This window comes from Homo sapiens, chromosome 11 (assembly GCF_000001405.40).
Source record: "Homo sapiens chromosome 11, GRCh38.p14 Primary Assembly".
Taxonomy (NCBI): Eukaryota; Metazoa; Chordata; class Mammalia; order Primates; family Hominidae; genus Homo; species Homo sapiens.
Window position 1 is genome coordinate 112,533,393 of NC_000011.10, and position 25,193 is coordinate 112,558,585.

Below are 25,193 nucleotides of genomic sequence, written 5' to 3' on the forward strand. Positions count from 1 at the left end.
GGTGAATTTGCAAATATGGAATTGGTGAGTAATGAGGATTGATTTTATGTGCCAGGCGATGACGGTGAGGTGAGAACCGATGTGACCCATATTCTGCAGATGTTCTTGGAACTTCTGCATCTGACCCTTCTTTGGGGCTTACTAGAATCCGAGGCCAGAGGGGAGCTTTCTGGCTTCCCAGTCTGTGTTCCAAATGAACTATTTCCAGGGGTTCAGCTCCTCTGAGGGTAGAGGAGTCACCAGCAGGACTCACCTTCGTATTTAAGGTACAGGACACGAACAGCAGCTCTGTTTGTACTGTACAAAGAACAGCCTCTTGTAATTTGGTTCTTTTTGAAGAGTTGCTAATAATTTTGCACTCAATTTCCATTTAAATGGAAACATTAACCTCTGGAGCCTGGAAAGGAGCCTAGAAGGGGCTCATAAGTACAGCTCTTATCTCCATGGCTCAGAGTGTCCCAGGAGTCAATCCAAACATACTTCTAAATCACTCTCAATAGATGAGGGGTTCAATCCTGTTTTGAAAGACCTTTTCCCTCCCTCCCAGTACAAAGTTCACTTTCTTGTTTACTCACCTGATTCAATGTCTGGAAGTTCTTCCTTAAGTCTAACCTGAAGTTTTTCTGCTGGAACACAAGCCTTCTTTTTCCTGGATCACATGCAGAAGACATTGGAAACCTACCTCCTGAGCTGATAGTGAAGCTCCTAACAAGTTGGGCAAGTGACCCCAGGTGGAGGCTGGAACAAAGCCCAGGGATCATCGAAAATAACATTTTGTCAACCAGCAACAAGAAGAATCCAAATGATCCCACATGAGTCACAAAACATTTTCACAGATATTATTCTGTTTTATTTTTGTAATTCCTCTGTGAAAGAAGTACATCAGTTACCTGATTCTACAGATGAGGAAACTGGAGAATAGAGTTAACCTACATCAATTACAGACTGGCAGGGCTGGAGCCCCAGAGCCCCTAGCCTGCACTCTGCAATGATTACGAAATGCTGAGAGCTGGTCAGCTTCTATGTCAAGAAATTAATGATAGCGATGATGTAACCTAGAATTCAGTCACTGGGTATCCCTAAATCCTCCAACTTCCTACTCTAAGATATCAATCAGAATTGGTCTTCACTGCCCCCTCACATGTGGCAGAGAACCCATGCTCCTCCCAGTCTTTGTCCTGGGTGGCCTGCACCCTAAGACCTTGAATGACTTTTTCTTTTTTTTAATTATTGGTTCTCGCCTTGCATTTTGTCTCCTGTGTTGGATCTCCCTGTTTTGCAGATATTATCTTCACTTATGGAGAGGACAAGCAGGGGTCTACAGATGTGAAGTGACACCTGCTTGCTGCATGTGGTTGGGTAGCTGGGATGCTGCACAAATGTACTGTTGGGAGGGTGGAAATTCAGCCATGCACTGTTTGCCAGATCAGGAACTATGAGATGCTGCATCCAACCAGAATATTCTCTTATTTACTTGTGCAAAGGGGTGTCTTCTATTTGCACAAAGACACCTTATAGGCTAGAGGTGGCCCTCAGGAACATATTCGAGGTCACACATCCAGAAAGTCTGTAGCCAGAGTGGAAAGCCAGGTCAGCTTCCATCATCTGGTCTCATGTGCCCTTCTTTCTCCTAGTGCTCAGCTCCTGGAATGGGAGAGGGAGACATGGGGGTGGAGGGGAGAGGGGAAGAACTGCCTCCCTGTTCTCAACTTTCCAATCACCCTCTTCAGCCTACTTATCTTCTGTTTCCAATAATGAAGCAATCTCTTTGGTCAGCAGCCCCCACCCCCATTCTTTTCTACCACTTGCAGTATGAGTTCTAAAAATAGCAATAATTAGACAAGTCTGCACATCATTCCAGGTCTTTCTTGTCTTTGTTTAAATTCTGTTGGTTTTATCTCCTATAATTTCTGACTGATCTGGAGGAGCCTGAGCAGTGTGCAGTGATACCATGTGCAGACTATGATTAAGTGTGGGTATGTGTGTGTGCATGTGTTCACATATGTATGTGTGCTTATATGTGTACATGCATGTATGTTGCATTGTGCACATGTGCAATGTGTGCATGTATGTATGTGTGTATGTGTATCCCTATGTATGTGTATCCCTATGTGTGTGGATGTGTATCTATATATATATATCTGTGTGTAGTGGGCATGTGTGTGTGTGGTGCATTTACATGTGTGTAGTGGGTTTTGCGATCAGGAGGAGGCAGAAAGGAGTGTGGACCCATTATCTGTTGTTATGCATTAGTTGTCCCTCTGAGGATCCTTGACACACAGGGATCCTCTCCTGGATGTTGGTACCCAGTCAGGTATTTTCCGTTTGCTCCTCCAGATTCTCTCTCCAGCCCTCTCAGCTCTGCTCTCTTTCCTGGGGCTGACTTGATGGATCACAGCAATGGTTCCTTGAATTCTAGATTTCTGTCGAGGTTGGCCAAGGAGGAGTGCAGGTGGTCAACTGGAGGAAAAGGGACATGTAGGGTCAGGGCATTTATTCCCCTGGCCTCTTTCCCGCAGACTTGCCTTGGGCTGGTGGTCTTCCTTGATCACTGCGCCTCTCAAGGAAGCCCTCTCTGCAAGCTTATTTCTTTTGGGTTCTGGTCACTGCCCCTTCCTTTATTCCTCTGGATTAATGCATTCTCCCTTTCCCCCCGTGCCCTGCCTACATTTCTGTAAACAGTCTTTCATTAAAGCCTCCTCAAGTAGTCCTAATTTGAGTGTGCTATGTGTTTTCTGTTAGAATCCCGACTGATACAAAATTCTCTTGGTCACTGCCGTTGGCTAGTTAGATTGTAACCCATATGGTGGTCTCCATTTGTCTCTGTCCTTCAATATCTGCGTCTGGCCCCTACCTCTGTGGAGGAAAAGGTTGGGCAATAAGCTTTACTGTTTCTTCAGCTGAGCTATTTGGTACAGGCTGCTGCTTCTCTGACCAGTGGAGCTGCCATTCTGCTGGGAAGGAGGGCATCCTCTCTCTCCTGCCTGTTGCAAGTATTTCCTCACCTATTTTTCCCAAAGGGTATATCTACTGGATCAGTAAGACGGATTAAGAAGATTTTTACTCAGGAATCAAGTGTTATTACCCTGGTCAATTGTCTACCTCCCTCATTTCCACACTTAGAGCAAAGCCTTGCTGCCAAGCTCTCTGGGATCTTCCACACCGACACTGCTGGGCCTTCGGTGGATTTCCAGCCTTGACCACAATGTTACTCCTTTCCTCCCTATTTTCTTTTAATCCTTTCTTCCTCTGATGTACTGCTTCCAGTTATTTTTCTCCCTAGACATTACCTGTTCCTAAAGAAAGAGCAAAGCCCATGTTCATTTAGTGCTTCCTTTTCTTTGGGTAGGTTTCAGTCTTGGTATTGTAGGGGAGGAAAAGCTTTTTCTATACACTCTTATGTCCTGTACCTGGGGATGGGCAAATTAAACTGACAAAAGACAGATCAGCAAGAGAAAAGAAAGAGCTTATTTATGCACACAAAATGTGTACACATGGACACAGTGTACTCAGTGATGTGTAACTCAAAGGGATGGTTAGAATTTGGAGCTTATATACCTAATTTAGGAGAAAAGGTAGGGAGAGCAAAGGCTTCTATGGGAAGGACAAATAGGTTTCTTTAGGAAAGACAAATGGGTTTTTAGGAGAACAAATAAGAGGTAAAGTTTAAGATAATGTTTATGCAGGTGTGGTGGTCTCTCTGTCTTCTTTATGGCCATACAACTCCCCCGGAGAGGAGATTTATGGTAGATTTATTCTTGGTTTCTCTCCTGGGAATAGACTTGCCCCAAAGAGGGAATTTATGGCAGTTCTCATTTCTCAGAAGTATCTCTGTTGAGTCAGATAAGGGAAGCTCTGAGAAGTCATCTTTCTCTATCTGTTGAATCTCAAATATCTTCAGCTTAAAATAATGTTGATGCCAAGTCTGGGATTCTAAGTGAGTCCACACAGTGTACACTGCAGGTTAGTAGCTTTTCCCTTTGGTCTGCTGTCTACTGGCTCTGTATGGGAAGGATGGACCCTGGCCTCAGTAGCTACTGGTTCCACAGGTAGATGGGGAAGGAAGGGTGAATTCTGGGCCCACGAATGGGAGTAACGTGGTTGTGGTGGCAGTGTTGGGAGAAGAAGGTCCATTTTGAATAATGGCTTGTTCTTCCCTGCTAATGTCTTCTAAGTTAAACACGTCTCCCTACAATAGGGATTAACTTCCTTCCACAACCTTCACTTGGGAAATTATATTCTTCTTAGCAACTTAATTTCATCTTTATTTCTTGTGAAAATTTTCTTCCTCCTGTTTTGCATTACATGGCAAAGCTCCTTTTTATTTCATGATAATTAAGGGTATTGTTTCTAAACCCCTTCTTCCAAATTCTAGGGTGGAGAAATCCATTTTACTCCACTATAAGGGCTAGAGGGCAGAGGGCCTCTGAAGTGAGAACACTTTTGTGATGGTCAATTTTATGTGTCAACTTGACTAAGCTCAGTTGTATAGTCAAACACCAGTCTAGATATTGCTGTGAGGGAAGTTTTCAGATGTGAGTAACATTTAAATCAGCAGACTTTGAATAAAGCAGATTATCTTCCACAATGTGGGTGGGTGTCATCTCATCAGCTGACAGGCCTTAAGAGCAAAGACTGAGGCTTCTGGAAGAGGAAGCAATTTGGTCTTAAGATTGCAACACAGAAACCCTTCCTGAGGTTCCAACCTGCTGCTGCCTGGAGGAATTCAGCCTCAGGCTGCAACATCAGCTTTTATCTATGTCTTCAGGCTGCTAACAAGTCCTACAACTTTGGACTTTATAGCCACCTGAATTGTGTGAGTCAATTCCTTAAAATAAATCTCTCTCTATATCTATACCCTATTGGTCTGTTTCTCTGTAGAACACTGACTAATACCATCTTACTCTCCATTGCCTTCCTCAAAAGAACTCACAGGGTGTGTGTTTCTGCCAAGTCACCTGTCCTAGGAACAGAGAGCTTTGTTTAAGTCTCAGGAGCCCGGGAGAAGAGAAGGGGATAAAGTGGGCAGGTATGTGTGGATGAATTCATAACTAAACTTCACACTCCTAAAGATGTAACGATGGTTACCCAAGTAATTTGGAATACCTGGAGGGCAGAGCCACACCCTCTGTATCCTGTCTTGACTTTCAGGAGCCCTCAAATCAGAGTGAATGTTGGTAGGGGAGAAAGTGGGTGAAAGCAGCAAAGATTGGTGAAGCGTCTGGAGCTGGCTGGAGGCTCCGAGGGGATGCACAGCAGAACGCTCAGGGCCTTTCCCTACTGGGAGGAGTGTGACAGAGAGGAGCCCTGCAACTGTTGCCGACCACAATTGGAAGTGATGAGCAATCTGGTAAAGAGCATTGGAGAGGGAGCTAGTAGTCTGGGTTCCTCACCCAGTCCTCACATGACATTTGGATCTTTTCTGTCTCTCTCTCTGCAGGGGCTTACACAGCTCTGCACACCCAGCAGACACTGACAACTGCTACCCAGCTCCAGCTACTTAGAACATGGGAATAGAAACTCTTGATTCGTGCTTTCTTGCATTATCACAGACCAAAGGAACTCAATGCAATTTTTTTAAAAAACCATCTGATTTAGCAAATTCCAAGTGACAGTCATCAGCTAGCCCTTCTCAGTTGGGATAAGGCCTTACTAGGTTCTGGTCAGAGAGCAAATGAGACCCAGAGGAGAGAGAAGGTTTACAGTATGGCAGTTTGCCCACATCTGCAGCCTGGAAGGAGTTAGGAAAATTCAGCAGGCTGGGAAGACGTTGAGACTATCGATTTGTGCAGAGAGTTAGCAAAATGCTGTGCATACTTTATTATTAATGATGACTTTTTCACAAGTTCATGCCTCATTCTGGTGCATCCTCTTCTGTCCTGCTTTCTTCTGCACTCAGTGTGGAAGTCAATGGGGGTGTGGTTCCAAAGGAATGAAAGAGAGGATCAAATTAGCTTGAGACACAGCTGTTTGGTTGGCTGAGGCTAAGCCGGAACTAAAAAAAGGATGCTTTCCTTGGTCTAATCCCAACAAATCCACACTAACATTTTGTTACCAGTGGAGGGTGTCCAGGTTCTTGGCATCTTGAACAAAGAATTGGGCAAAACACACAAAGCAAGGAAAGAATGAAGCAACAAAAGCAGAGATTTATTGAAAATGAAAGTATGCTCCTCAGGGTGGGAGTGGGCCTGAGCATAGGGGCTCAAGGGCCCCGTTATGGATTTTTTGGGGGTTTAAAAACCCTCTATAGGTTTCCATTGGTTACTTGGTGTATGTCCTATGTAAATGAAGTGGATATTTCCTGTCATAGCTGAAGTGTTTCCATTTGATTTAGTTCTAGGAAATGCTTAGGTTTCCCGCCTTCCAGACCCTATTCTCCTTCCTTGATTTGATTTGAATTTGTTCCTCTTCAGGAATTCACCCATGTACATCGAGCACCTAGAACAGTGTCAGGCACATGGAAAATGCTCAAATGTTTGCTGAAGTAATGTTCGAGGTCTAGTGAGGAGTGCAGGAGGAGGCATGGGGAAGATGTGCAACTTGCTCCCTGTGTGTACCTTGGCCGGGCCTCTGAACTTTCTCAATCTCGTTTTCCTTTTCTGTGGGTGTGATGAGAATGACTAGCATCTAAATGCTAGTCATGAAAGACGAGAATGATGATGATAATGATAGCACCTAAACTACAGAACTCAATCCATGGTAATTCTACTTTCTTTCCCTTTTCTTGGGAAGAGGGTAGAACATTAACTAATATCAAAATTGACCAAACAAGCTGTTGCCCTGTCTACACCATAAAATGTAAGCATCAGTAAATGTTAAATGAAATGCATGAAGGAAAAAATGAATAGGTGAGAAGGGGCCTTATAAATTTTGTAATGCAGGAGTTTGAAAATATTTTTCTTTTAAAGCAGGAGAAGTCCCTTATTAAACAAAAGCTCACATGGAAGCCCAGGATATAAAACTAACAAAACCACATCCTGCTGTGATTGAAGTGGATGGGGGTGGGGTGGTGGAATGGCCCTGGGGGCATTTCTAGTTCTGTGGTCTCTTTTTAGGGCTTCCCTCCCCCCGCCCAACTCCACTACCCCCCAACCATCACACCATCTCTGGCCTTGGGCTCTGGTTTGCTAGTAAATATTTAACAACTGGCTCTGGGGTTGGGGAGCCCTGATTTGTCGCATTTTCAGATTTCTGTGGTGTGAATATTTCCACTGCTTTAAGCTACTGATGTGGCAAGACTGAAGGTAGAGTTGGGACTGCTGCTCAGAATTATATGCACCATTATACAGTTATTTCACCAAACCTACAATTGCTGTAAACAACCTCAAGGGTATTAAGAATTTGATGTAGTAAATTAATTGAGTGGTAAATTCTGAATACTTACTACCTTTGTTTTTAATATAATTTAATTATAAGTTTATATGCACGTAATTTAATTTTTTATAATGACTTCAATTAAGAACAGGAAAGCAAAATTTTCAAAAATTGAGCAACTGGCTTTTAGGAGCTAGTATCAGCTGGGTCCAGCACACCACTGCCTCTGGGACATCTCTTTTGAAACCTTGGGTTCCAAAGAATACACTTTGAATGATTGATGTATAACTCTTAACATTAGAAGGTAGGAAAAATGAGAGGTTATGACTTTATGAGGGTCATAGAACTAGTAGTTATTTTACTCTAGAGCTAGACATTATTCCTTTTCCTGTGGTAGAGAACCTACTCTTCTTGCCTTCTGAGACATGCAATTAAACTATATCTCACAACTCCTCTTCCATCTAGGTGAACCACTTGGCTGAACTCTGGCAAATGGGTTTTGACTATAAATGATGTGCACCACTTCTAGACTTGTCTAGTTACAAAACATCTTGTGTGATCCTCTGTGCTCTTTCCTGATCCCCAGCCAAGTGGAAGAAGCCAAGTGAAGGGCTATGGGGACCTAGAAGATGGAGTCGTCACACAGTGGAAGAATTGCAGATCTCTGAGTCACCATTTGGACAAGAACCTACTAGAACAGGTGCCTGAACAAGAACACTGGACTTTGTGTGAGTGAGAAACAAACTTTTATTGTGTTAAGCCACCGAGATTTTGGGTTGGTTTTTATAGTAGCTGGTGTTGCTTACACTGACTAATACATCTTGAAAGTAAATGATGCAAAACAATTCTACTTATTCACAGGGGGTGGTATTTATAAGGGAAAAGAATAACAGGGTGGTGTCAGTGATGGGTCCTGATAAGTAAGCAACAACAAGGAAGGGGCCCCAGGTAGGGAAGAACAATTGTTCTGAGAGACTGTTAATCACAAACAACCTGCTAGCCCCACATCCTGTTCTCAAATACTTTGCTCAGCATGTAGCCCCAGCAGCATGACTTTGTCTGCATGTAGACCCTCCAGCATGACCCTATAAAATTTCCCTCCAGCCACTGCCTCTTGGCAGACAGTCCCTTCTCTGCTGTGCTGCCCACTGCTTTCTTACAACGTTATCTTTGTACTTTCTCTAATAAATCTGCCTTTCTTTACCCACAACTGTCTTGAAAAATTATTTTGCTGTTCATGATGCCAGCCCCAGCCAGTTGACCAACAAGAGTCAGTGGTAGGGGGAGGAATTAAGTCATCCAAAGGATAAAAAACTCTATGGAGTGTAATGAAAGAGCACAGGAGAGCAATCTAGCAGACTAATGAGTCTGGGGGATCTTGCATGAAATGACTGTGGGTGAGAATAATAACGATGATATTAACACAGATGATTGTAGTGGTCAGGACTCTTCAGGCACAAGTAACAGACACCAATTTGAGCCAGCTTATGCTTGGAAAAGGAACCTTATTTTAGGTACACAGGAGCATCTCATGGAGGCCAATGGCAGGAACACAGCTTCTGAAGGGTCTGGAATCAGGACCTGGGAATCACAGGGACCCTGCCACTGTTTCTTGTCTCCATCTTCATGTCTGCTTTGTTGCAGACCACCTTATCAGTGACCACCTCCTGCCCCATAGTGAGTGAAAGGTGGCTATCTCCCAGCTCCTAGATTCACTGTTAAAAGCTTAGCCAGCCACAGACTGAACTGCATCTCTCTTTGGCCTAATTCCACACATACCAAATTAGCTCTCTTTAGATCATAATTCCAGAGTCCATAAAGAGAGACTCTAGTTGGTCTAGCTTGGTCAGGTTTCCACCCTGGTCTAATGTGCTATGACCAGAAGGTCAAGTGTATACAGTATGAACATGGCTGAAAGGGGCCTTCCCTCTAGACAGAGGGAGCCAATTCCCCAAGAAAGTGAGGTCATTGTTGACTCAAGGTGGCTCCTGAATATTTCTGTAGGCAGAAACATCCCACCAGGAAGAGGGAGGAAGGGGCGGGGTTGTATATGCACAATTCTTCTCCCAAACTCACCCACCAGTCAGGTAACTGACTCCATCTCCTTGTGGAGGGGTTAGGGATAGAGGAGAGAAGGTCAGAGTGTTACTCTGGAGAGCTTCCTCCATCCAGAGGGAACCATCATGAGTGGGAAAGATGGGTTCAACCTGCTATCAATAACGTTTAGAAAGTGTCAACCACAGTCCTGACACAGAGTGAACAGTCAGTGTAGGTCAGATCCCTTTCTCTCCCTGCCCCACCCCCAACATTCTCTCTTCTTATCACTTGATTTCTTGCCACTGACAGTGATAGTGCCACATGGAGCCATATTGAAGCCTGAGGTGAAAGGGAAAATAAATGACAGTAATCTGGTCCTGTCTTGATTTTGTTCTTCATAAAGTACTTGCATTGATTTTGACTCTTAAAATATTGTATTAACATATTCTTTGCCTTGATTACTGAGTATTTGGCACCCTCTTACATTTTGTGCCCAAGTCAAGTGCCTTGCTCACTTCAGCCTGGTACCAGCCCCACTTGTCAGAGGCAGTTGAAAAGTACCCCAGGATACATTTCCTTCCACAACAACCAGCCCTTCCTGACTCTCTGATTTAAGGTTTAATTTAATATGGTTTTGAAAAATAAAATTTTTTTTTTAATTATGTGTACAGGTGGTGCAGGATATTTCCCTGACCCCTTTGCAAGACTTGTGACAGGGGTACCTTGTGTACTTAGCCTGCAGCATTCAACTCCTCGTGGGAGGGAGTGCATGAGTGAACAAGGTGGGAACTAGAGTGCACAAGCACTGGAACCAGCAGGCTACTGCCACACTGGCAGAGGTGAACTCCACTCACCAAGACACACTGTGTTCCACCCCTCGTGGGAGGGAGCATGCAGATGAGCAGGTGCAGGAGCTTGGGAGAGTGTTTTTGGGCACTGGCAGGAGCAAACTCTGTGCGGTCCCAGCAGCAGCATCTAGTGGGGTGTTCATGACCCCTAAGTCCCCAGAGGGCATGTTACAGTGCTCTTTTAGCTCTGCCATCCATGGACAGCTTAAGTGTTAACAGTTCAGTTGGCCCTTTTATATTTGCACACTTGGCTTCTGAGCTCTTCCAATGTCCAGGAAAAATGAGGTTGCACAAACAAATTGAAGGATGGTAAATGTGGGGGATTTTATTGCTGATGAAAGTGGCTCTCAGCTAGAAGGGGAGCTGAAAAGGGAGTGGGGTGGGAAGGAAATCTTCTCCTGAGCTCCAGCCATCTTCAGCCAGATTCTTCTCCACAGTTACGCCATCAAGCTGTCCCTCTGCAGTCAAACTGCTTCTCTCTAATGCCCAGCCATAGTCCCCAATGTCCAGCTGCTTCACCTCTCTGCCAGCTGAGTCTGAAGTTTTTATAGGCACAGGATTGGGTGGCGGAGTGGGCCATGGGTGATTTAGGAAAAGGCAACATTCGAGCAGGAAAACAGGGATGTCAGTTCTCACTTTGGGCCATGGTTTCAGGCTTGAGGGTGGGGTTTTGTTGGGGACCTGCCCTTTTCTGCCTAGAATTTCTCTGCCTTCTGTCCTTATCACATGCACAGTGTCATTGAAGTTATCCAAGAAACTAGTAATAGATGTTGCTCCTACGAGGGAAAATGGCAATGAGAGGGAGGAAGGGATATATTTTGCCTTAGAAATGTATTTTTAATTTTTTAAGGAAAGCCTAATTAAGATGATTTCTTTACTACAAAAGCAATACTTGTTCACTATAAAAAATTAGAAAATACAGATAAAGCAGGAAACAGAAACTATAAACTGTAGGGGAGAAAACATTTCTTTTCTTTATCTTTTTTGGTTCTAAGTTGAGATACACTCCTGAAAACAAAAGTCAGACTAACAAAAGAAAAACAAGCAGAAGTTTATTAACATGTGCTGTACCCATCACACAGAAGAGGCCTCAGTTCAAAACTCTTTTTCTCTCTCAAGGCAGCGGCTTTAGAGGCCTTGCTTAAATAGTATTTTAACAAAGAGCCATAAATTCTATTCAATGACAAGACAAAGAGGAGAGTATCTTCAGGCTTCCAAAAGGCAGGAAAATGTGGGAAGGTAGATTTACAGTAAGAGTAAAGTCAGCTCCCAGATCCTCTGGCGGCTGCTGTCTCTGAGCTCTGCTTCTGAGCTGATAAGCAAATGTAAGGAAGGGGCCTACCTGTGGGTACGGAAGGCAGAGAGGAGGAGCAAAGCATGCCCTGCATTTCAATCTTTTTTAGCTCAATAGTCTCCAGCATTTTAGAGAGAAATATTTTGGTTTCCTTCAAAACATTAATAACTCACCATTCCACTAATACATACCTTGGTGTTTATCTTTTTTATTCATATATGTAGATTTTACAAAAATAGTATGGTTTTGAATAATATTTGCGGTCTTCTTTTTCCATTTAAAATACATTGCGTATCAATGTCTAAGTTAGTAAATACTTCTCTACATCATTATTTTTAGGGGTTCACATTTTGACTGTGTCACAGTATTTGACCAACTCCCTATTGCTGGACATTGAATCTTTTCCCCAGTTTTCATGATTGTAAACAGTGCTGAGCCAAACATCCTAGCTGTGTAATCTTTTGGCACGTGTCTAATTGCTTCCCTAGGATGAATTCCTAGAACAGGACTTGCTGGGTCCAAGCGAATGCCCTCACGTAGAGGTTTTTTAAAAAAATACTTGCTGCCAAGGTACCCTCTAAAAAGCCTGTGCTGGTTTATACTCTAACAATGTGTATGAGTCCCATTGTCAGTTAATTTAAAGCCCAAACCGGAGGGCTGAGCAGAAAGTGAGGCAGATACAACTAAACCTGTACAACCTGAACATGACTGTAATACTCTCATCTTATGGTAAAATCAGTGGCATCTTTAAAGGTGCCTGTACTGGAATACTGGAAAGGGTACAGAGAAGGATTTCAGACAAAGTGAGACAAGAAGCCGGAAACCCACAAGTAAAGTTACAAGGAAGATGATCTTCTCTTTCTTTCTCATAACAGCAGTGAGCTCTGATCCACTAGGGCGGACAAAGAGCCCCTTCCCCATTTATCCCAACTCTCATCACTGTCTAAGCTTTTTCTAGATTTCTAACCCTTTTTTCAAGTTTTAGACATTCAATTCCCTTGGCTCCCTTAAGGAGCATTTAGACAATGAGAATCATCAAATGGTAATAATCTTCTTTTTGTGAGGGTTGAGGAAGACATTTCTTTTTAGGTTTGCTATCTGCTACTTTTCCTAAGTCTCGGGTATATACATCCCACAAATTATCATCACCATTATTGCCAAGAAGCCTCCTGCTAGTGAAGCACCCTTTCAGATGGCTTTCCTTTCTTAAAGACTCCTGGGAGGTGGCTTGCTTTTTGTCCCTTTCTGATAGCTGCCACAGCTGATTTTACATCTTGGGGGTTTCCTTCTCTAAGTAGAGGATATTTAAAAATTCTAATTATTGTTGTGATTATCTTACTTTGGTGGTTAAGACGAGCAAAGTGAAGATGTTTCACTTTGTGCATTCGATGTATGGAGATCTTTTCTGTAGACATTTTTTCCCCCTTGGGAAAAGACAGAAGTGAAGGCCTTTCCATTGTTCAAGGTTCAAATAATGGCTCCACATGTACCGTGAGCTCAAAACAGTGTTCTGTGGCTCATGTGACCCAACAGATGAATGTTTTGGTCTACTGAATATCCCAAGAAGTAAAATAATAGTTGGAGTTTGAGGAAGGGGCATAGAAAAGGCCCAGACCCAGGTCATGTGCTTGGGTGGCTAGACTCATCTGGTGTTAGGCTTGTCTAAACTTGTCAGAATGAACACGTGGGATCAAGTGCTTCTCTGGTCCCCGTCGGCCTCTTACATCAGGTCAGTGTGAGTCTTTTATTTACTCAGGGGCCCAGAATAGACAGTATAGCCTGGGAGACTGGTGCCTTTTCCATCTTACTTTTTGGTCCATCTGTGCAATAAATGGACTTCTTTTTAAATTGCTTCACGTCTTCATGTTTCAGAGTGTTCAGCTCAGATAAACCAATGGAGTGGACCAAGAGACTGTAAATGATTGACATGAGTCCACTGAAGTCATCCTCCACCCAGCACCCTCTAAGATGATCTCAGGAGGAGGATGTGGTCTTTCTGGCTCCCTGTTTCCTTACTCTTTCTGAAGCATATAAATGTTTCTCACTTTCAGACTTTTTTTTTTTTTTTTTTTTTGAGACAGGGTCTCACTCTGTCCCCAGGCTGGAGTGCAGTGGCGTGATCTCAGCTCACTGCAACCTCTGACTCCCTAGGTCAAGCGATTCTCCTGCCTCAGCCTCCTGAGTAGCTGGGACTACAGGTGTGCGCCACCACACCCAGCTAATTTTTGTATTTTTAGTAGAGACGGGGTTTCACCATGTTGGCCAGGATGGTCTCGATCTACTTTACGATATTTAAAAACCACTAGTTAACAGAAAGAAGCTGTGTAATAAAACTAGCAAACATGTGCCAGGTAAAATGAGGCAATTACCTGAAGCTCTCATGTGATCTACCTAGAAATGTGGATGGGGCTGGCCTGTTGTTCAGAATCCCTACTTAGATTCCCTTCCTAGAGCACCAAGAGGAAGAAGCTCTAGCTCCATTTATTACCAAGTCTCTGGGGGTGGAGCCCCTCAACTCCCCCGTCTCCTAGGCCAGGAGTCCCTCCCCTTCCTCTCAGAGCCCTGGAGACCCATTTAGGCAGAGCATCAGATATACATCATTCTCAAGGGAAGAATGAGAAGACAGGGGATGGGTGTCTTTTTCCTAGTACTCAGAAAGCAGTAAGTGAGTGGATAGAATTTCTCTAGTTTAATTCATTCTCTTAAGCCTTTGACACTAGATACCCCACTTATGGAAGCTAAAATCTAGTTTTAGATGGTATCTGATATTGTAAAAAAATTTTATGTTGAGCTATTTTAAGTTTAATATGTCCATGTTTCATTATGCTCCATAAAGAGCACCATGCCTGAGAGTTGTTTAGCCATAAAGAACAAGTTTGAGTAATGCTGAAACAGGTCATATGGACGCTTCTTAATTCAAGCGAGGCATTTACATCTTGGAAAGATGGTGGATTCATGTGAAGGTATGTACACATCTTCCACTTGCCTCTAAACAAAGCATAAGCTAAGCAGAGGGATGAGCCATTCAACACCCTGGCCCCTCTTCTTCTTGACCTTCTTATGTCCAGCCATGTTTTTTTCTGTGGTCCTCCTCATTCCTATGACCATACTCTGTCTTGCAGGCAACATAAACTACACCACTTTGCAAATCTCAATTTCAAACACATCATTTTCCAACTTACCAATTGTTCTACCTTTCTTGCACTGATACCTCCTGTTTTACAAATCTTTGCCTTCTTGGAGACCCTTAATCCTTTGACCCCACTCATCCCTCATTTTCCACCAGCACCTGCTTAGCTTTACTTCCTTCCGAGTCCAGCTCAAATTCTATAGTTTTTCATTACAATTCCTTAACAAATACCTTCAGTTTCTGTGCTCTTCTCTCCTTTCATTAAACTTTTGTCTTGCAAAACTCCTGTTGGGCTTCTAAGTGCAACTTTCTTCTCCATGCCTGTTCCTGAGCAGCGGAACCCTAATGGAGAAAGCCACAAAACAAAGTTTTTTTTAAAAGAAATTAATTCATGATTACACATTTCAGTTGGGGACTCATAGCTGCCTGGCAACTCTATTGTGTTCTAATAGACTTATTCTTCATTTCCCAACATAATCATTTCACATCTTTTCCTCCCTCTTCAAATTCCACATTCCCTTATCAGCACTCATTCTCCATAGGTGACCTCAATCCTTTCTGAAGAAATAGAAGCTACTGGATGCTAATTCCCTACTGATCCTACAAATCCACCTGCATCAGAAACAATTTCCTCCTCCTCTCTTATTATTATGGAGAGAGGATTTCTTCCCTATTAAAAGTCAATTCTCAGATGCTCTGGTTCTGCCTCCTACATTCTTAAAGATTGTATTTCTTGGTTATCCCCTGTCTCTACTGTGTCATTAATTTCTTCCACTGTACTGAATCATTTGCATCATAGAAACATGTTCTAGCATCTCCTGACTTATGAAACATCAAGAACATAGTAACCTTCCCTCAACCCTGTGCAATTCACCCAGTGTTTCCTTTTCTTTTCTTTTCTTTTTTTTTTTTTTAGTGGGTAGGGGAGGGAGTTGTTTGTCTTGGTCTCATACCTCATATTTACAACTCAATTCATTCCCATCTGGCTGCTTCCACACTCTACTGAAACTGCTTTTCTAAAGGTCACTGATGACTTTCCAGTGGCCAAATCAGTCCTCCTCTTGACTTCTCAGCAGAATTTGACACTGTTGTTTGTATTTCCTTCTTGAAACATGAAACTCTTTGTGGATGCTGTGACTTCTTGGGTCCTGTGTTTGTTTTCTTTTTCTACCCCATGATCCACTTCTAGTTTTCTTTGCTGGGTTCTCCTCCTCCAAATGCTGGACTTCCTTGAGGCTAGATCATGAGACCTCCTTTTCCTTCTCTACATTCTCTTTCCAGGTATTCTCATTCCCGTGACTTTAAAATGCCATGTAGGTACTGACAATTGTCAGATTTGTCTCTCCAGCCCAGCCCTATCATCTGAACTCCAGACTTCCATATCCAAATATCTACTTCATATCTCTTCTGGAATGTCCCACTGACATCTTGAGTTAATACATCCAAAAGAGAACTCTTCACTCCCACCTCTTCACTCAAAACCTCTCTTGCCTTGCCTGCTCTGTCTCAATAAATGTCACTGCCACTCATCCAATTACCTAAATTAGAACTCTAGAAATTGTTCTTGATTCTTTCCTTTCTCTAACTCCTACCTTTCTAATCCAACAGCAAATTCTGTCAATTATACCTCCAAAATAGATTCTGCATTCATTTCCCATTTTCTACTGCCTTCCCCAATCCACGCTGCCATCTCTTTCCAACAGAATGATTGAAATACTCTTCTAACTAGGCTTCCTGTTTCAACTTTACCCCTTGTATTCCCCAAACAGCAATACAAATGACCATCCTAAAATATCTGTTAGATCATGCCACCTACTTGTATAAAATCCTTTAATGCAGTGTGAGTAAACCCAGCTCTTTCCCCTGCCTAATACAATACTATGCCATCTGTCCTTACTTTCACCCCTTTAGGAATGGGTTCCCAATTCTGTTTGTTCCAGTGAATCTGACTTTATTTAAACACTCTATAGATTCTTCCTCCTCTGGGTGTGGCCTACTGCTCCAGATGATCAGCCTGAAATGATCTTCCATGGTTTCTTTCCAATGAGAGCTTCTCACAGAGGCCTTCTCTAACTGTAGTATCTAAAGAACATACTCTCTTTCCATTATCTACCTAAGTCTTTTATTTCTTTGTTTCATTAGCATAATGCAGAAGGGTTTTTTTGGTTGTTTGTTTTCTATAATCTTTACTAGAATTTACATTTTATGAGGACAGGGTCATGTCTTCTGTGTTTTCATCATGTCCCTCTGGGATAGTGCCTAACTTTCAGGAGTGTAATTGTAGAATGTATGGATGAATAAATAATGAATGTTAAATAAAGATATTTATTATAACACCCAGCCTATTCAATAGACTTAATGGATCTCAGTTTACCTTCTCCTCAGTTCATGTGCACCTCCTCCTTTCTGGGATATAACAGGGTAACCCATTATGAAACTAAACAGTTTAAACAAACTATTTCTGTGCAAGATGAGTGACCAGTTAAGGTTCTTATTTTTTAGGATTGGTCTTGCCTTCTTCAAATCCGACAGTCACTGTAGAGTAGGCAACAGGGTTTAATAAAGAAACAAGGGCTATGAAGAGAAGAGCCCAGGAATGAATCCCTGCAATCCTACTCTTGAGCTGCGCAACCTTGGGCAAGACATAGCCCTCTCTGATCCTCCATTTTTTTTTTTTTTCATTTGTAAAACGCGGAGAGTGATATCTCTTTTGTCTACTTCAAAGGGTTATAGTGGCAACTAGGTGGGATAATGTAAGTAAAAGACCTTGTCAATTGTAAAGTGTTGAATTAATGATTTCCAAGAGTTTCACCAAACTCTTCTTGTCAGGAAGTCAACCATGACTTTCACATCCCTCCAAGGAATGATTTAAAGGTGACTTTCTATAGTGCTTGACCTCTACTAGGCTGGGACTAGTTTAAGTCCTGTGATCTCTTCCCACCCCACCTCCAGGTCCTACTTGTACCTTTCCCATAGAGAACATGTCAGCTGTTCTTTCTCCATAAGGCACAGTTCTGTCTGGTGGGACAGATAGCATGTGGGGCTCACCAGCCATTGCTGCAGAACCAATGGATGATATTTCCTGTTTGGGTCGGTCAAGGCTGATGGTCTGGGGCAGCCAGCCACACCTGCTGTTCAGTACGCCCCTGCCACCCACAGGCCCTGCTAGAGGGGAACTGGAGCTGTGAAAACATAGCTCCCACTTCCACCAGCCTTGCCCTTTGTGGTAGCTGAACAGACACTTCAGCTGGCTTGGCTACTACCAATCTTAGCTTCCACGAGAAGCGAGTATTTTGGCTCTTACAGAGCTCACTGCTCAGGAGTGAGCTGGGTCACGATGCTATACAAAGCAGTTTCCCCAGCTCCCCAGTTTGGGAGTGTTTGGCCCCAGGGTGTATTCTGGTGATCTCACCTGTAGGTTTTCAGACAGCTTCACGGCCATGGGTGTCCCCCAGCCTTCCCCGGGGTTCAGGACTTGGCTCATGTCATCTTTCTGCTTTTAGTCCCACCCTGTCCTTCTCTCTCCTCTCTTGTCTTTCTCTGTTTTAACCTTCTGACACCCAGAAGGTGGGGATTGTTAATGGGTCCTCTTATTCACAAGTCTCCACATTCTGTCTTATAGATTACTGCAGTGGCTGCTCAGTGCAGGTGTTGAGTGCCAGGAAGGTTGTGTCTCTCAGGTGGGGCAAGAGCTCTTTGCTGCCCACACTGTGATGCAGTCATGCCCCTATGTTCTCTCAGCTGAAGGCTCTTCTGCATTGTCCAAGAGACCAATTTTATATTCCTTATCCCGGCACTCAAGGTCCTTCCTAATGTGGCTCTAAGTGTTCTCTCTAGGCTTTCTTCCTCCCATGCCCCAAGTTCCTGCTGGGGCCTCTCTGCTCTACTCTGTTCACTAGATACATCTTCTTTCCCTGCTTCAGTCCTCCCACATTCCAAGGCTTACTCAAATGTTTCTTCATTGATTTGACCCATGCTGCTCTCTCATCGCTCTCAAGGCCAAGTGTCTCTCATCTACGCAGCACAGAGTGGCATCTTCTTTGCTGTTTTGCTTCATTATCCTTGTGTCCCTTGTGTATTATGTTTTTTTCTTTCCTATTAGGTTTTAGGCTCCTTAAGGTTGGGATGGTATCTTTCCTTAGTGGTCAGGAGCATATTTTGAGACCAAGACAAATTTGAGTGCAAATTGTATTTCTTCCTCTTATCAGTTATGTCACCTTTAGCAGGTTACTTAACTTCTCTGGGCCTCTGTTTTTTTATACAATGGAGATGATAATAGACCTTACCTTTTAAGGTAAAAAAATGAGAAAGGAAGAGATAATGTATGTAATGTATTTAGCACAATACCTGGCATATAATAAGTGTTCAATAAATGATAGTAATAGTTATTTTTTTTAAAGTCTTCTTTATCCCAAAGCACCCATCCCAGAGCAAGTAGTTGATGCTTATCCAACAATCGTGGATTATGTAGCAATCTATATAGATTAATTCATACCAAGGGTTAAGAAGGAAGGAGCAGAACCATGAACAGGCTTGCCTAGGGTGCCATACAGTGTAGCTGATGTCAGTGCACAGGTCTAAGAATGCTGATGAGCTGTGGAATAGGTCAGTTATCCCTGGTTTGGCCTGGAGGAGGGTGTGGCATCTACTTCAGGCCTCTGCTGTCCTAGTTCCTGGTACTAGGAGGACTATATTGCAACTGTATCTCTGCATCCATTAATTGTAGCCATTTTACACCTACACAAGATGATCCCCTAAGATACCAAATTATGCTATCTCCTTGTCTTAAAAACGATCACAGGGCCAGGCGCAGTGGCTCACGCCTGTAATCCCAACACTTTGGGAGGCTGAGGCAGGAGGATTACCTGAGGTCAGGAGTTTGAGACCAGCCTGGCCAACATGGTGAAACCCCGTCTCTACTAAAAATACAAAAAATTAGCCAGGCATGGTGACAGGTGCCTGTAATCCCACCTACTTGGGAGGCTGAGGCAGAAGAATCACTTGAACCCAGGAGGCAGAGGTTGCAGTGAGCCGAGATTATGCCATTGCACTCCAGCCTGGGCAATGAGAGTGAAACTCTATCTCAAAACAAACAAAAATGACCACAGCATGAGGCCTCGGGATGATGGAGAGCTGACCCTTTTCTTACCTCGGTGTGCACCGTCTGTCTCTGTGGGTGTCCTCAAAGCTCCCAGGACCGTGCCATGCTAGTAGCAGCTTCAGTCCCTCTGGGCCCAGCTGTAGAGGTGCCCTCAGGTCAGAGTACTGCAGATGGAACTCAGAAAACTTTGCAAAAGCAGGGGGGAAGAGGGGGCGGGCAGCTTCTGGGAGAGAGGGAGTCGGAGCCTGACAAATGGAGATACCTTGTGTGAGATCAGCAAAAGAGGAGACACAGACACTTGACCTGGTTTGGAATTATTGCAAATCTATCAGGCTCTGTGCAAATTGAGACCATAATTCAGATTGTTCATATCATCACCAGCATCCCCATTTCCATTAAGCCCTGCTGTTCATCTCTCCTGGGCCTGGCTCTGTCCAGCAGCTAATTGAAGGGGTCAAGCTAGCACTAAATCAACAATCCAGTCCAGATAGGTCAGCCCCCACCCCAGTCCTTCCAACTCAGAGGCTGTGGTTAACCTTGAACGGAATCTTATCTCCTCCTCAGCCTCAGGAGAAGCTTCAGTGGAAAGATGCTTGTTAACAGGGCATGGTGGAAAGGGTACTGGACTGGAGGCCGGAAGAAGTGGGTTTGAACCCCAACTCTGCATCTCACTAGCTCTGTGACCTTGGGCAAGTTATAGAAACTGCTGAAACCTTGGGTTTCTCGTCTGTAAAATGAGAAAGATAAAGGGCATACCTGCTCTATCTACCTCAAAGGGTGGTATTAGGCAAATGCTGAAACATAGGCCGAGATGCTTTGAGGTTTATAGAACACCATGCAAATGTGGGTGCTTGTGGGTGCTTCCCTACATGGCCTCCAGGGGTTGTGCCCAGTGAATACCTAGCATCTGTCCAGCTTCTGTTCAGGCTGGCCTTGTCTCAGGTTTGAGGCTCTGTCTCCCTGTGGATCATGTCCCCTCAAGTAGGAGACTCAGAGAAAGAGCATCAGGTACCAATAGGGCTGGCAGCAAATCTGCCAGGCTGAGCGCTGGGCCCTCTCCCCCGGCCCTACTCAGATGGAAAGGGAAGCGGAAAAGGACTTTTATTGAGCACCTACTTGACAGGCTCCTCACTGGCCATTCTTCCTGCGCTCATACACTCTCCTTACCAAATACTTTGAGGTAGCTATCATCATCTCCAGCTTTCAGAGGAAGAAAGTCAGTCATAAAGAAATTAACTCACTTGCCCGCGGTCGCCTAGCCAGTGAGTGGTGGGTCTGAATTAGATTCATTCTGTCTGCCTCAAAGCCTACCTCTTCCAACCTCACCTGCTGACTCTCAACAGACCTTTCTGTACTTTGTCCTGGGGCAGTCAGGGCCAGGGACCAAGTAGTCACCCTCAGGGAGCAGGACTCCTTGCCACAGAGGTAGGGGAATGCTAAGCACAGGTGAGGATTTCCGCCTGCTTTGGAGACTGAGGGCAGCAAGGCATCCTGGGGATTGCCCTGTACCTGTAAGCTCAGGTCTTGGTCCTGCCTGGGGTCAGCCCCCCATGCCTACCCTCTCCCACCTCAGCCCCCTATCTGTGGGTGCACCCATCTTGTTCCCCCTGCACACAGCCTAACTGGGCTCTGACCCATCAAGGAGCTAGGTGCAGGGCACTGTGCTCTAGCCCTTGTCCTCTAGCCCCGGGCCACAGGGTGTGTCCCCATCACTCACCGGGGAGCCAGTGCCAGCCTCATGGCCTCCGAGCAACACAAACCACCCACTGTGGCTGGGGCTCCTTTCCCAGTCCAGGATAATCATTTCAATGGAATGTTTTAAAGAGTCCTTTTCTAAATTAAACTAATAAATGGGATAGTAGCCGAGAGGCAAGAAGGGTCTCTGCTTAACATTGAAATAGAAATTAACCAGAAGGGGGAAAAATAATGTCCCCAGAGGTTATCAGGAGGCGATTTGAATCCTGTTCCCCTGTGGATGGAGTCATCTGAAGTCTAGCTGGGTCTGCCTGCTGTGAGGACCTCAGATGCTAAGGGGAAAATGAAGTCAGCTGCCACAGATGCCCCAACTCCCAGCTATGAGAAAAACTCTGGAAGGTGGACTTCATTTTCCATGTTTTATTCAAGATTTTTTTTTCAGATATGTCTCGTGCTCAGACTCTGAGATACCACAAAAGCATCCAAACCCAGCCTGTGACATTCACCCTCGTTCCTACCACCTCCCTTGCTGAGGAAGGTCCTTTGACTCTTCTTCCAGAGGAAAAGAATAAAAAATCAGAACCCAAATGGCTATGGAAAGGGCCCTCTCTACCCTTTCAGCTGGGACGGGTCATGGCCTTGTTCAGTGCCCACTGTGGGGGCTCTGGTTCCAGGACTGACTCAGGGCTACTTCAGCTTCTATCTGGCCATCTGACCGGGGTGGCATTCGAGGGGAAGTGACATAGCCTCCTGCCACTAGCCGGGAAGGGCCATCAGGTGAACAGCTGCCTCTGGTTGTCTGAGACACCTCATTAAGGTGACATTGGTAGCCACCTGCAGAGGCACAATTTGAGGTGTAGCTTACCCTGGTCTCACCTCTGCCCATCCAGGCTGCTGGCTGCTTCCTCTGCTCCTGGGGAGTTGGCCCCAGCCCACCAGGACCTCCTCTCAGCTTAATGTTCTCCTCCAGTTCCCCTTCCATGTGCTGACTGAGTATGGACCTCACCCGCAGCATACAAAGGTTTGCTGGTTGGTAGGCCAGACTATCAGGGCCCCTCACCCTTCTGGCTGCTCAGGTGTGACCCCTGCTGGTGGGAGTTGAGCTGGCCTGGGGGAACTTTTCTGGGACTGGTCGCTGTAGCTTTGAGTCTGTTTCTGGCAGGAGCAGGCTCTGCTGTGTTTGTGTACATTTGTTCAATCAGTGGACACCCGGGATTCCTGAGAAAGCTCCAAAGGCAGCTGTAGCCACAGTAGAGAGATAGCCATCCTGCCCTCTGCTAGGCTGGCCTCACGGGAATCATGTCACATAGGCCCCTCCAGGCCACAATCAGGGCTCCTTTAAGAAAGGCAGACTCTATACATCAAACCACAGCACCCTGTGCTCATCGAATCATGTGATAGGTAGAGAGGAATGCCCAGTCCTAGCCTTCCTATGGGACATTCCTTCTGATTGACACCAAGGCGTAATGACTGGTAGAAATTCAGTGCATTCATTATCTCCATGGGTACGTTTTTTAATGGAGAAGGGCCTGAAGCCAGCAATGATTTGACCTAATTCCAGAGCAAAGAGTTGGTTCCAGTGTCAAGCCTGCAATGGAGTGATGATTCTAGGATAGGGTTGGGCCAGAGCCTTTCTAAGAACACCAGTGGTAGCAGACGACACTACTTACGGAGTGCTTACTGCGTGCCAGGCATGCTCGTTTAAAATGATCTGCTAGTAAGCATCTTGCCGTCGTCCTGCATTTGAATTCTGATCTGTCACCTGGTAGCTGCGGTCTTTGGGCAAGCCTCTTACCCTCTCTGAATCTTAAGTCCTTCTGGAGGTAAAAAGACGTACTTCACAGAGGAATTGAGATGATTACATTTATATGATCCTTGTATGTGCTAATCACAAAGGCACAAGCCTCCTTGTCCAGTGATTAGCACATATTCAACATTCAATAAATGGTAGTAGCTCTTTCATTTCATCCATTTCCTTTTTCTTTTTTTTGTAAAATGAGCATGATTTTGTGAGGCTAAGTGAAAAAAATATAGGGTATTAGTGCTTTGCAAATTGGAAGGGGGATATGCGATGTGTTTATTATTGATGTGATTTCTCACCCTAGGCAGTAACACACTTCTCCCCTCACTGCAACCTCGGCCCCCAGCAGAGCAGCTCTCCTACCTTCTGAGTCTGGCCCCCATCTAGCAGATGAGAGGGAGAACACATCACGCTCAGGAGCCAGACAGGCCATGCAGCGGTACCATCCAATGTTGTTCCCTCCCAGAATCATCCCCAGATTCGCCTTTGACTCCTGTGATGGTATCTCATTGGATAAGCCAAACTGATTAGCCACGTCAGAAAGTTTTTTATTCCCAAAGTTCAGAGAGCACTCTCCACATTGCTTCTCTGTGCCTTTCTTTGTGAGAGGAAAGGAATTAGAGTGGATCGTATCAAGGTGAAGGTAAGTCCCATTCTCTCCCTGCTTCCCTGAGAGCCAGCCTGGACCTGCTCGGAGGAACACTATCTTCTTATAATTGCATTTCCTTTCTGTCCTCTAAAAGCTTTTGTGCACTACTCCTTCACCGATTCATAGTAATACACTATTTGGTCGGCCTTCTTTTCTCATTTCCTTTGCTTTATTTGGTGGCTGTTCTCGTTTTTTTGCAGACTCTACTCAAATACATTTGATATAAAGGAAAAAACTTAGGATTTAGCATCGGGAAACTCAGTTCTGACACTAGCAGGGTGATTTTGGTAAAATCACTTAACTCCTTTGTGCCTCTGTTTCCTTCATTTGGTAAAATGGGATTAATAATCAAATTACATAATAGACATTAAACTGCCTTGTAAACAATAAGTGCCATATAAAACTAGTTACAAGTCTCACAGCCTCTGAGTCCTCTTCCTTCTTGGCCTGGATCTTTTTCTTCCTAGCTACTCAATACAATGAAGACAGAGAAAAGCTAACATTTATTTAGAAACTGAATAACCAAAAAAAAAACAAAACCACTAAGTGCCAGGTGCATTTATATGTAGTATTCATTTAAGAAGTTTTCTCTTTGTTATGGAGATTTAAAAAACTTGCCTCAGTTTAATGTTATTGGTTCAACATTACACAATGATTAATCGGAGGATTTGAATTCCAATCTGTCTTGATTCAAGAAGCGAGGCTTTTCTGCTTGTGGTAGGAGGCTAAATAACGGCCCCTTGCAAATATGTCCATATTTTCATTTCCGGGACCTGTGAATGTTACCTCATATGGCAGAAGGGAATTTGCAGATGTGATTAAATTACAGATCTTGGGATGGGAACTTTATTCTGGATTATTGTGTGGGACAGATGTCACCACAAGTGTCCTTGTAAAAGAGAAGGTGCTATGAAGACAGTAGCAGAGAGAGATGGAGAAAGTGACCACGAGCCAAGAAATGCAAGAAATACAGCTGTGGTAGCTTGAAAAGCAAGGAAATGGATTCTCATCTAGAGTTTCCAGAAGGAACCAGCCTTGCTGACACCTTGCCTTTAGGCCAGTGAAACTGATTTCCAATTTCTCGCTTCCAGAATTAGAATAAATCTATGTTGTTTTAAGCCCCCAAGTTTGTGGTAATTTGTTATTGCAGCTGCAGGAAAAGAATACACCATTCTATCACGCTGTGCCCTTCACCATTTCATATCTCTTTGCCACCTAAAAGGTCCAAATTATAGCCTTTCCCAAGCTCTCCCATGTCCTAGGGTGACAGACTGTTCTTCCCAGTCAAAGCAATTGGCTGGCAAATACTTAACAGATACCTACT

At 44.2% G+C, this 25,193-nt stretch overlaps 2 long non-coding RNA genes across 2 annotated transcripts in view; one reads left to right on the plus strand and one right to left on the minus strand.

The window, feature by feature from the left end:
• LINC02763 (long intergenic non-protein coding RNA 2763) overlaps positions 1-8,524 on the plus strand; it is a 59,685-nt gene extending 51,161 nt beyond the window's left edge. The window contains exon 3 of the long non-coding RNA NR_120559.1: positions 7,901-8,524. This is a non-coding gene — a long non-coding RNA (long intergenic non-protein coding RNA 2763). The remainder of the gene's footprint in view (positions 1-7,900) is intronic.
• Positions 828-22,410, minus strand: LINC02764 (long intergenic non-protein coding RNA 2764). The gene is made up of 4 exons (NR_104155.1): positions 22,285-22,410; positions 19,773-19,969; positions 14,855-14,965; positions 828-2,460 (listed from the first exon to the last, which is right to left on the minus strand). It is a non-coding gene; the product is annotated as a long intergenic non-protein coding RNA 2764 (long non-coding RNA).
• Between the last annotated feature and the right edge of the window lie 2,783 nt (positions 22,411-25,193).